The sequence below is a fragment of the Homo sapiens genome, chromosome 1, assembly GCF_000001405.40.
Source record: "Homo sapiens chromosome 1, GRCh38.p14 Primary Assembly".
NCBI classification, from domain to species: Eukaryota; Metazoa; Chordata; class Mammalia; order Primates; family Hominidae; genus Homo; species Homo sapiens.
Window position 1 is genome coordinate 4,025,335 of NC_000001.11, and position 12,174 is coordinate 4,037,508.

At 44.3% G+C, this 12,174-nt stretch overlaps 6 annotated features.

The window, feature by feature from the left end:
* Positions 1,178-1,678: an enhancer, noted in NCBI's record as "H3K4me1 hESC enhancer chr1:4086572-4087072 (GRCh37/hg19 assembly coordinates)". NCBI's record gives its function as "activates a minimal SCP1, AML or CMV promoter by ChIP-STARR-seq in primed H9 embryonic stem cells {active_cell/tissue: H9 hESC(primed)}" and the evidence as "EXISTENCE:reporter gene assay evidence [ECO:0000049][PMID:30033119]".
* Positions 7,970-8,139: an enhancer, noted in NCBI's record as "experimental_7992 CRE fragment used in MPRA reporter constructs". NCBI's record gives its function as "activates a minimal promoter by MPRAs in K562 erythroleukemia cells, with activity observed for both the introgressed and non-introgressed 1:4093449 variant alleles {active_cell/tissue: K562}" and the evidence as "EXISTENCE:reporter gene assay evidence [ECO:0000049][PMID:34662402]".
* Positions 7,970-8,193: a biological region, named in NCBI's record as "Neanderthal introgressed variant-containing enhancers experimental_7992 and experimental_7995".
* Positions 8,024-8,193: an enhancer, noted in NCBI's record as "experimental_7995 CRE fragment used in MPRA reporter constructs". NCBI's record gives its function as "activates a minimal promoter by MPRAs in K562 erythroleukemia cells, with activity observed for both the introgressed and non-introgressed 1:4093503 or rs12041382 variant alleles {active_cell/tissue: K562}" and the evidence as "EXISTENCE:reporter gene assay evidence [ECO:0000049][PMID:34662402]".
* Position 8,109: a transcriptional cis regulatory region, noted in NCBI's record as "Neanderthal adaptively introgressed variant 1:4093503 (GRCh37/hg19 assembly coordinates) or rs12041382 in the experimental_7995 CRE". NCBI's record gives its function as "modulates activity of the experimental_7995 enhancer by MPRAs in K562 erythroleukemia cells {active_cell/tissue: K562}" and the evidence as "EXISTENCE:reporter gene assay evidence [ECO:0000049][PMID:34662402]".
* Positions 8,322-9,097: an enhancer, noted in NCBI's record as "OCT4-NANOG-H3K27ac-H3K4me1 hESC enhancer chr1:4093716-4094491 (GRCh37/hg19 assembly coordinates)". NCBI's record gives its function as "activates a minimal SCP1, AML or CMV promoter by ChIP-STARR-seq in primed H9 embryonic stem cells {active_cell/tissue: H9 hESC(primed)}" and the evidence as "EXISTENCE:reporter gene assay evidence [ECO:0000049][PMID:30033119]".

The window sequence follows — 12,174 nt, forward strand, 5'->3', positions numbered from 1 at the left end:
CACTTCAAACAGGCATTGAGCTGTACACTCTGGATGCCAGCTGCAGTAGGGTCTTTAATACTGAAAAATAGGAAAAGATCATGTCTAAAATAGGGGACTGGCTGCATAAATGAATTGGAGCCATAGGATATTTACTAACACGAACTGATACTTGCTGACTGAAACCATAGGATGTTTACTGACATGCTGCATTGCTCCATGAAAAAAGGTTGGAAAGGAGAATAGAATATAGGGCACCAATTTTACAGACAGGACTAGGCAGAGGAAGGGACCTGGCAGAAGAGTCAGATGTTAATAGCCTCTAGTTCTCAGGATCACAGGAGATATTTGTAAAATGTATGTTTTCTCTGTTTTCTGTTTTTCTGCATCTTTCAGGAGATGCTGATGAAGTCCTGGGATCCAGAGAAGTGGTTTTGGCCCCCAGAGAGCTCCTAGTGTAGCTGGAAAAAAAAAAAAAAAGAAACAGACACAAAAGACACATAGGCACCTATGTATAATGCCATGTGGTTGTCAGGAACAGACCATGGACAAAGTCATCGTGGCAGGGAAGGTTGGGCAGGATGTGGGAGGCAGGTCCTTCCCAGCAGAGGAACAGCCGGGACAAAAGCCTGGCCGTGGGTGCAGTTGTGCTGCGTTAGGGTGCAAATGTCTGGCAGGCTGGGGTGCAGAGCATGTATAGAGAGGAGAGGAGAGGGAGGCTGGGAGCTGGGTGAGGACAGAGACCACCATGGGGAACTGCTGAGTTCTTAAAAAATATATAGTAGACGATAAAAATACTATAAGTATAAATTTAGATGTGCAGCATGATATTTTGATACATATAGATAGTAAAATGGTTATGATAGGCAAGCAAATTAACATATTATCTCGCATAATTACCTTTTTTTTTTTTTTGGTGGCAAGAGCAAAAATCCTGAGCGCAATGCAGTATTATGAAGTATCATCCTCAGGCTGTGCACTGGACCTCTAGAGCTGTTCAGCCTCTGTATCTGCTTCGTATCCCTTGGCTCACATGTCTCCAGTTCCTACCCCAACCCCACCATGACCATGTTTTATTTTCTATCTCCTTTTTAAAAAAGGAGTAAAAAGGAGTAGCCTCCATTTTTTTTTTTTTTTTTTTTTTTTTTTGAGATGGAGTCTCGGTCTGTCGCCCAGGCTGGAGTGCAGTGGCACGATCTCAGCTCACTGCAACCTCTGCCTCCAGGGTTCAAGTGATTCTCCTGCCTCAGCCTCCCAAGTAGCTGGGACTACAGGCGCCTACCACCACGCCCGGCTAATTTTTTGTATTTTTGGTAGAGACGGGGTTTCACCGTGTTATCCAGGATGGTCTCAATCTCCTGACCTCGCGATCTGTCCACCTCAGTCTCCCAAAGTGCTGGGATTACAGGCGTGAGCCACCGCGCCCAGCCGCCCCCTTTTTAAAAAAAGATTCCACGTGGATACTGAGGACGGCTTGTCCGTGTCCCACAGTGGGGCTTGGTCTTCTCCCAGGGGGCCTTGGGAGCTATTGCGTTTTAAGTGGGTACATGACGAGACCGCAGCTGGGCTTTGGGAGCTCATGGGGTTCCGTGGAGGATGGAGTGGTAGGAGATGATTCTGGAAGCTGGGGCACCAGATTAGGGGCCAGGGCAGTGAGTGCTCCAGAAACTTCCATCCCTGGCACCGGAACCACACATTGCTTGTCTATGATGCCATGATCCCACCTTGGGGACAGGGGGCACTGTCATCTGAAAACTCTCCAGGCTACTATTCCTGATGGAGACCCCCATTTCCGTGGCGGCCCCTGACGCCGGCTGTCCTCCAGGAATAATCTGGGGTCCGCTGGTGCCGCCGTGGCTGCCGTTGCATTTATTTATGTCTTCAGCACTGTGGGGAGAAGTGGCACAGGCCTGGATTCCCCAGGGAGACAGTAAACTGTCAAGCTTGTGTTTATTATTATAACACGCATTTTGAAACTCCACAAATCTCCGATCCAGGGAGAGATGGAAATACATTAGCCTCAAAACATACTTCAAAATACTTCGGTCTCAAAAAAACCTCTCAAGTCCAGCAAATGGGTTCAGGGACCCAGGGAACCCAAATCGCCCTCAGCCCTTGTTGAGAAAATCACTTTCTGGTGAGCGATCGAAGCCACTTACTGCACTTTATTATGTTGCCTCAGCAAGATGGGTTTGGGCAGAGAAGAAAGTACAAGAATGGAGTTTAATCAAACTCGAGCCTGGCCTTGGGAATAGCTGAAAAGTTAGCATTAAAACAACAGCTGCAGGTGAAGCTATTTCGCCGGCTGCATCACCGCAGCCACCCCCTCTTCTGTCGGGCACCGTGGGAGGGTGGGGGCGGGGAGAGCATCGGAGTGGTGAAAAGAGGTGCGATCAAAGCACAGCCGGGTTTCTGTTCCTGTTTTCTGGTCCCTTCGCTGTTGAGTTTCCAGGCGCCCCACCAAAAGGTGTGGGGTTGCTCTGCTCTGCCTGAGAATCACCCTCCATATCCAGACCTGGAGGAGTGCCCAGGGTTGTTGAGCTTTGCTGGAGAAAACTGGTAGCTTAGGATATTCATGGAGCTGAGCTGGGGTTCCAAGGACACGATCCCACTGCAGGGTCCTCCTCAGCGTGCTGACAATGTCTGCGTAGTGGGAGGGCCAGCCCCAGACTCAGATGCAGTGGAGGCTGCTGTGCCTGATGAGTTTTTTTTTTCTTTTTTTCTTTTTTTCCGGGTCCCTCCAGCCCCAACAGCCTGTCCTGGTGCAGTCCTTCCCTCTGACCTGGCTTGAAATTTCTCCCAGGCCAAGGCAGTGAGCCATGATCCCAATTCCATGTCAGGGGCAAGAGTGAATTCTGGGTTCCGAGGCCTAACTATCTCGTCTTTCCACTAGCCCAGGAAAGTGAACTGCAAAACTTCTTTAAAAGGGTCCAACTAAGCAAGCCCTTCCTATCTTCAGAGGCAGCCTGTGAATGTGAATGTACGAAAGGAGATTTGCTTCTGCGGCATCCCAGGAGGCCATAGGGGCCATATCGGTTCTCCTCTAGATAGGCCAGTGGTTCCCTTATAGACGCTGAAGGAGAAGCTAATGTGGGGAGAAGAAAAGGTGAGCTTCTAACAGCTGAGGGTGGGAGTTTTCTTAGGGGAGAGAAAAAATTGTTTGAAAAAAACCTAAGTCATTCCTCCTTTTACACAATTAAAAAATTGTTATAGTAAAATAGGTTTCTTTTTAGTTTACAGTTCCATGAATTTTAATACATGTATAGACGCATAAAACTCCACCTTGGTTAGGGCACAGAACAGCCCCATCGTCCCACAAAGCCTCCTCATGCTACCCTCTGTGTCAGCATCTCCCCGTCATCCCACCCTTGGCCATCACTGATCTGTCTTTCATCACCATGGGTTTCTATTTTGGAGAATACCATACCCATGGAATCATGTTGCATGTCTGTTGCTGTTTGAGACAGGCTTCTTTCACTCAGCAAGATGCCTCTGAGATTCATCCAAGTTGTGGCTCAAGAGTTCCCTCCTTTTTGTTGCTGAGTAGAATTGCATTGTATGCACACATCAGTTTGTTTATGCATTCACCCGAAGGACCTTTGGCTTGTTTCTAGTTTCTGATGATTATAAGTAGAGCTGCTTTAAATATCTGCGTACAGGTCTTTGTGCAAACCTAAGTTTTTATTTCTCCAGGGACAATGCCTAGGAGAAAGATGACTGAGTCCTATGGTAAGTGTATGTTTAAGTTTATAAAAAAACTGCCAAACTGTCTTACTGAATGACTATACCGTTTTGTATTCCCGTGAATAATGATGAGAGCTCCAGTTGCTCCATGTCCTGCTGCTATTTGATATTATCATATTTTGACTTTAGCCACTCTAAAGGTATGTGGTTGCTGTGTTTCAAATGTCTCCTTCAAAACTCATGTGGAAATTTAACTGTTATGGTGGAACTATTAAGAGGTGATTGGGTCATGAGAGCTCTTCTTTCATGAACGGATTGATGCCATTATTGTGGGAGTGGGATCCTGATGGCAAGCTCGTTCATCCCACTCTGCCTGCTCTCCTATGCATGCTCTTTTGTCCTTCTTCCTTCACCTCTGGGATGTGGGATGACACAGCATGAAGGCCCTCATCAGATGTTGGCCCCTTGATGTTAGACACTCCAGGTTCAGAACTGTAAGAAAGAAATCTCTGTTCTTTATAAAGTACCCAGTCTGTGGTTTTCTGTTATAGCAGCCAAAATGGGCTAAGGCAGTGGTGATGTCTCATTGTGATTTCAGTTTGCATTTTCCCAATTAGTAATGGTGTTGAACTTCATTTCCTGTGCTTATTTGCCATCCACACAACCTCTTTGGTGAAGCACCTGTTTAAGCCTTTTGACCATGTAAAATTGAGTTGTTGAGTATTGAGAGTTCTTTATATATTCTCAATATAAGGCTTTTTTTGGATATGTGATTTATGCATATTTTCTCTCTTCATTCTTCTAATGGTGTCTTTGGAAGAGAAAACGTTTTGAATTTTGCCAAAATTTAATTTGTCTTTTTTTTTTTGTTTTGTTTTATGAATCATGCTTTTGGTGTCATGGCTAAGAACTCTTTGCCTAAACCTAAGTGGTAAAAATTGTCTCCTATGTCTTCTTCTAAAAGTTTACATTTCCCATTTTCCATTTAGATTTTTGATCCATTTGAGTTAATTTTTGTATAAAAGTGAGGTGTAGGTTAAGGTGTGTGTGTGTCTGTGTGTGCGTGTGTGTTTTGCCTATGGATGACCAATACCATTTGTTGAAAAGACCACCTTTCATTATTGATTTGCATGTGTACCTTTGTGAAAAGTCAGTGAGTTGTACTTGTGTGGTCCTGTTACATTGATCTCCGTGTTGGCCCACTGCTAATACCACCCAGTCTTGACTACTGTAGCTGAAGCCCATTAAGCCTAAATATCTGTAGGGTGATTCTTCCTGTTTCCATTTTCCTTTTCAGATTTGTCTTAGCTACTCTAGTTCCTTTTTTAACCAGTTTGTCTATGTCTTCAAAAATCCTACTGGATTTTTGTGGGAATTGAATTAAATTTATAGATCCATTTGGGGAAGATTGATATCTTTACTACATGAATCTTCCAAGCCATGAGCATGTTATGTCTCCATGTTTCGTTAAGTTTTTAGTTTCTTTTCTTTTTTTTTTTTTTTTTTGAGATTTTTGAGATGAAGTCTCGCTCTTGTCACCCAGGCTGGAGTGCAATGGCGCGATCTCAGCTCACTGCAACCTCCGCCTCCCAGGTTCAAGTGATTCTCCTGCCTCAGCCTCCCGAGTAGCTGGGATTACAGGCGCCTGCCAACATGCCCAGCTAATTTTTGTATTTTTAGTAGAGATGGGGTTTCACCATGTTGGCCACACTGGTCTTGAGCTCCTGACTTCAGGTGATCCACCCACCTTGGCCTCCCAAAGTGCTGGGATTACAGGCATGAGCTACCGCATCCGGCAGTTTTTAGTTTCTTTTGTAAGCATCATTAGTTTTCATTATACAGATATTGTATGTGTTTTGTTAGATTATTTTCAATTATCCTATATTTTAAGAGATTTGTAAGTGATATTAACTTTTAAATTCTGGTTTCCACATGTTCATTGCTGTTATGTAGAAGTATTATTGACTTCTTGTGTGTTGACCTTGCATCTTGCAAGTTTGAAAAACTTATTCTTCTGTTAGTTTTTTGGGGGTATAGTCACAGTTCATTCTACAGAGACAATCATATCATCTGCAGATAGGTACTGTTTTATTTCTTCCTTTCCAATCTGTTTGCATTTTATTTATTTTTCTTGCCTTATTGCCCTACCTAGTATTTCCACAGAATGAAGAATAAGAGTTATAAAAGTGGGCATCCTTGCCTTGTCTCTGATCTTAGGGAGAAAGCATTCAGTCATTTTTAATATGATGGTAGCTGTAAGTATTTTGCAAAATGTTCCTTATCAGGTCGAGGAAGTTCCCTTATGTTCCTACTTTGCCAAAAGTTTTATCATAAGTGGATATTTTCTATCTAATGATTTTTCTGCATCAATTAATATATGAATTATTTTATTTAGAATCTTAATGTGACAGATTAAAAATCCATTGATGGAATTTTGAAGATTGAACTAGCCTTGCATTTCCAGGATATTCTTTTAACACATTGCTGGACTCAGTTTGCTAATGTTATCTCAAAGAGTTTTGTATCTATATTAATGAGGAATATTGATCTGTGGGTTTTTTTTTTAATACTGTTGAGAAACAGTCTTTTATCAAGTAAAACACCTTGAAGCCCTCTTTGGATATGAAAGTTGAATCTCTGCATCTATTTTTCAGGGCATGGTGGGGATGATTGGATCATGTGCTGCCTAATTATAGGAGCAGAAATGGGGTGCAGGTTCATGGAGGTGATAGTAGTGGTGAAGGTGCAGGTTGAAGTAGGGGCTGGAAGAGAAAGGAGAGTTAATGAATGAGAGCAGGGAGGGGGTTGTGAGAGAGAGAGGAACCCAGCTATGGGCTGGAAGCTGGAGTATCCCAGGAAGTGGTGCTAGGGAGAGCTGGGTGTTTAGGCGAAGGTGCTCTTCGTAACAGGAATGTATGGAATCAGGCTTCAGCCTGCTGCTGGGTGGGGCTGAGTGTCACTACCTCTGCACCCTTAGCACCAGTAGCAACACCACATCACCCATAGCCTTGGGTGGGGTGGGGGGGGGGGGGCTTTGGATGCCAGGAACCAAGCAAAGAACCGAGCAAGAGTGGGGGGCCCTGGAGTGTAACAGGGATATTGCATGCCTGCTGGGAACTGCAAACAGGGGTGGAGAATGCAGTGGGGCCAGGAAAACCTGCAGCCCCTACCAAGATAAAACAAACTCTTTCAAGAGGGGAAATGTGGAGTTTTCACATGTTGAACCCGGATTTGGGTCTATATTTATTTAATGATTGAAAGACAGGGTGACTCCATAAAACTGGAGGACTCTGGGGGACATTTGGCAGCTCAGTGTGGGTTGTGGTGGTAGGGGGAGGGTCTTTTTTCAAATAAAGCATCCCAGGAGAGACTCTTCTCAACAATCCCCTGACTATGGTGGCTCCATCCCTTGCCATCCCTTTCCTGCTTCCGTGTTCTTATTTTGAGGCACTTGCCACTTCTTGCACTTCATTTTGTCTTTAGTTGTTTTACTGCCTCTATCTCCTAGAATGTCAGCTTCATGAGGGCAGGACTCAGTCCCTGCTCTATCCTCAGAGTTTGGGGCAAGTTCCTGGCACATAGCAGATTGCCCATAAATATTTTTTGAGTAAATTCAGAAGTGAGTGTCTCCTTCGGGCTGTCCACCTCTGGCATATCCTGGGCCAGGGGCCATGGGCTGGGTGGACTTGGGCAGGGTGTGGCTCCATGCCCACCCATGCAAGCCCTGCTGCTTGTTAGTGGCAGCTGAGCACATGGCCTGCTGCAGCCCCAAGTACCTCTCTCCCCTGACCTCTCCCAGCTCTCGATCTGACCCGGGCCAAGCCGACTGTGCTGTTCACTGCAGGGTGGGGCCAAATCTCCTATACACGGGTTGAATCATGCCTGCCAAAAGGACGTGGTGAAGTCCTAACCTCAGTACCTGTGAATGTGACCTAGTTTGGAAATAGAATCATTGCAGATGTCATCAAGGGGGGGTGCAAATCCAATGATTGATGTCCTTATAAGAAGAGGGAGATCTGGAGAGGGGAGGAGGCCATGTGAAGATGGAGAAGAGATGCGAGTGAGGCAATCACAAGCCAGGGAACTCCAAGGACGACCACACTCACCAGAAACCAGAAGAGCCCAGGTAGGATTCTTCTACAGACCTTCAGTGGGAGGGCAGTCAACACCTCGAACTTGGACTTCCAGCCTTCGCCTCCAGAACGATGAGAGAATAAATCTATGCAGGTGGGAGTGGGGCCCAGTGACCAGCTGGGTCTGTTTGCAGCCAGAGAAGAAAGGGCAGAGTGGGCAGGAGTCAGGCTTAGTGTCCTCTGTCCAGGCCAGGGAGGAGGATAGACAGGGGCCAAGGAAGCCCATAACAGCCACCAAGTGCCTGAGTCATCTCAGCGCTGGCACAGAGCGTCTGGCCCCAAGGGGACCCTGGCCGCCATCCCTCCGGCTTCCGCCCTCTATGATAGATAGGGTCCGGACTGCCGTGAGGACAGCCTGTGCTCTTCTGAGTCAGACCAGCTGCTTCTCAGCAGGGACCACAGCATTTCCCGTGGCTCAGCTCAGGACAGTAGCCGGGGCGCTTCTCCGGGAGTGTTCCTGGGAGGGCTTGGCTGGCACATAGCAGGAAAATAAACCATAACAATATATTGTTAAGTGAAAATAAAAGATGTAAATTATATGTGTAATAGGATAAGTGTTCAAATTAAAGTTTCACATGAATAAAAGGACAAAAAAAAAAAAAAAAGAAAATAAACCAAACACTCTTTTCTCTGCTCTTCTCTCATCACTTGATGCAGAACACTTCTGACACCAAGAGTGTGGGTTCCCCTGACCCCCAGCCATCAATTCAGATCTCCAGCAGACACCAGCTGGGCGTCCTCTAATGCAATTCTCACGCGATCTACCTGGAGTTTGTGTCAGACCCCGCAGGTGAAGGGCTCAGCCCCACAAGACTGCCCCATTCAGATGCTAATCATGAGTCTGAGCCTGCAGACCTTCTGACCGATGGCTGTAAATCAAGTTTCTGCCATCTGCTAGGACGGCTCACAGGACCCAGGGAAACTTGTTACTTACATTTATGGTTTATTATAAAGGGTACAGAGGGACAGCCGGACAGAGACGTACAGGGCCAGGCATGGGGCATGGGGCATGGGGCTTCCATGACCTCTCTGCAGCGCTTCACCCTCCAGGGACCCCCATATGTTTAGTAATTTGGAAGCGCTCCAAACCCCATAGTGGAGGGATTTTCATGGAGGCTTCATCATGTAGGCCAGATAGATGATTAACTCAGTCTCCAGCCGCTGTCCCCTTCCTGGAGGATAGTGAGGGTGGGGCAGCTGTAACCCCCCGTGAATATAACTCCATTGACCTGGGATCCATGCCCCCATCCCCCACAGCAGCCAAGCGAGACCCACCCAAGGAGAGGCTGAGCTCAGACACGCTTATCCCTGCTCCCACCTGGTGGTCTTTCTCTACCTGCCCTGGTAGCCAAAAACAAAGGTCATAATCTCTTGGGAGCCCTATGGCCCTGCCCACTGTCTGAGAATCCTGAATAGTTAACAGGTGTCTCTAGGGCAAGTTTGCACCCTCGTTATGGGATAGTAGCTGACGCAGTCTTGAAAGTGCCACCTCCTGGCTGGAGGCCAATCAACACGAAGCCAGTGCACTAAACAAAAACAACCAAGGACCCTTACAGAGTCCACCTCACTCCTCTGCTGCCTCTACTGGAGCAGATGCTGGTATCCACAGCTGCAAGGCCTGAAGACAGATCATATCACATCACAGGACTCTCTGCAGGCAGACACTCTCCAGTACCAGCCCGGAGCCCAGTAGCTCCACTGGGTGGCTAGACCCAGAAGAGCAAAAACAATCACTACACTTCGGCTCTCAGGAAGCCCCATCCCTAGGGGAAAGGGGAGAACACCACCTCAAGGGAGCACCCCGTGGAACAAAAGAATCTGAACAGCAGCCCTTGAACCCCAGATCTTCCCTCTGACATAGTCTACCCAAACGAGAAGAACCCAGAAAAACAGTTCTGGCAATACGATAAAACAAGGTTCTTTAACACCCCCAAAAGATCACACTAGCTCACCAGCAATGGATCCAAACCCAGAAGAAAATCTCTGAATTGCCAGAAAAAGAATTTAGAAGGTCGATTATTAAGCTAATCAAGGAGGTACCAGTGAAAGGTGAAGTCCAACTTAAAGAAATAAGAAACATGATACAGGACATGAAAGGAAAATTATTCAGTGAGATAGAGAGCATAAATTAAAAAAAATCACAACTTCCAGAAATCAAGGACGCACTTAGAGAAATGCAAAATGCACTGGAAAGTCTTAGCAATAGAATCAAACAAGCAGAAGAAGGAACCTCAGAGCTCAAAGACAAGGCTTTCAAATTGACCCAATCCATCAAATACAAAGAAAAAAGAATAATAATAATAATAATAAAACAAAGTCTCCTAGAAGTCTGGGACTACGTTAAACATCCAAACCTAAGAATAATTGGTGTTCCTGGGGAAAAGAGAAATCTAAAAGTTTGGAAAACGTATTTGAGGGAATAATTGAGGAAAACTTCCCTGGCTTTGCTAGAGATCTAGACAAGAAGCTCAAAGAACAAGAAGCTCAGAGAACACCTGGGAAATTCATTGCAAAATGATCATTGCCTAGGTACTGGTATTGTCCTCAGTTTATCAAAGTCAAGACGAAGAAAAGAATCTTAAGAGCTGTGAGGCAAAAGCATCAGGTAACCTATAAAGGAAAAACCAGAGTAACAGCAGATTTCCCAGCAGAAATCTAGAAGGGATTGGGGTCCTATTTTTAGCCTGCTTAAACAAAACAATTATCAGCCAGTAATTTTGTATCCAGTGAAACTAAGCTTCATAAATGAAGGATAGATACAGTCTTTTCCAGACAAACAAATGCCCAGAGAATTCGCCACTACCAAGCCAGCACTACAAGAACTGCTAAAAGGAGCTGTAAATCTTGAAACAAATGCTTGAAATACACCAAAATAGAACTTCCTTAAAGCATAAATCTCACGGGACCTATATAACAATAACACAATGAAAAAAAAAGTATTCAGGCAACAAATAGCACAATGAATAAAATAGTACCTCACATCTCAATACTAACATTGAATGTAAATGGCCTAAATGCTCCACTTAAAATATACAGAATGGCAGGATGAATAAGAATTCACCAGCCAATTTTCTGCTGTCTTCAGGAGACTCACCTAACACATAAGGACTCACATAAACTTAAGGTAAAGGGAGGAAAAATATATTCCATGCCAATGGACACCAAAAGTGAGCAAGAGTAGCTATTCTTATATCAGAAAAAACAAACTTTAAAGCAACAGCAGTTAAAAGAGACAAAGAGGGATATTACATAACGATGAAAGGATTAAACAGGAAAATATCACAATTCTAAATATATATGCACCTTACACTGGAGCTCCCAAATTTATAAAACAATTACTACTAGGCCTAAGACATGAGATAGATGGCAACACAAAAATAGTGGGGAGTTTCAATACTCCACTGACAGCACTAGACAGGTCATCAAGACAGATAGTCAATGAAGAAACAATAGACTTAAACTATACCCTACAACTAATGGACTTAACAGACATTTATAGAACATTCTACCCAACAACTGCAGAATATACATTCTATTCATCAGCTCATGGAACACTCTCCAAGGTAGACCATACGATAGGCCATAAAACAAGTCACAGTCAATTTAAGAAAATCAAAATTATATCAAGTACTCTCTTAGACCATAGTGGAATAAAATTGGAAATCAACTCCAAAAGGAACCCTCAAAACCCTGCAAATACATAGAAGTTAAATAACCTGCTCCTGAATGATCACTGGGCCAATGATGAAATCAAGATGGAAATGAGAATTTCTTTGAACTGAATGATAATAATGACACAACCTATCAAAACCTCTGGGATGCAGCAAAAGTGGTGCTAAGAAGAAAGTTCATAGCATTAAACACCCACATCGAAAAGTCTGAAAGAGCAAAATAGACAATGTAGGTCACACCTCATGAAACTGGAGAAACGGAAACAATCCAAACCCAAACCCAGCAGAAGAAAAGGAATAATGAAGATCAGAGCAGAACTAAATGAAATTGAAACAAACAAACAAACAAACGAAAATACAAAAGATAAATCAAACAAAAAGCTGGTTATTTGAAAAGATAAGTTGATAGAACATTAGCGAGATTAATCAATAAGAGAAGAGAGAAGATCCAAATAAGCTCAATTAGAAAAAAATGGGAGATATTACAACCGATACCACAGAAACACAAAAGATTATTCAAGGCTACTATGAACACCTTTATGCACATAAACTATAAAACCTAGAGGAGATAGATAAATTCCTGGAAATATACAACCCTCCTAGGTTAATCCAGGAAGATATAGAGTCTCTGAACAGACCAGTAACAAGCAATGAGATTGAAATGGTAATAAAAATATTGCCCAAAAATGTCCAGGACCAGATGGATT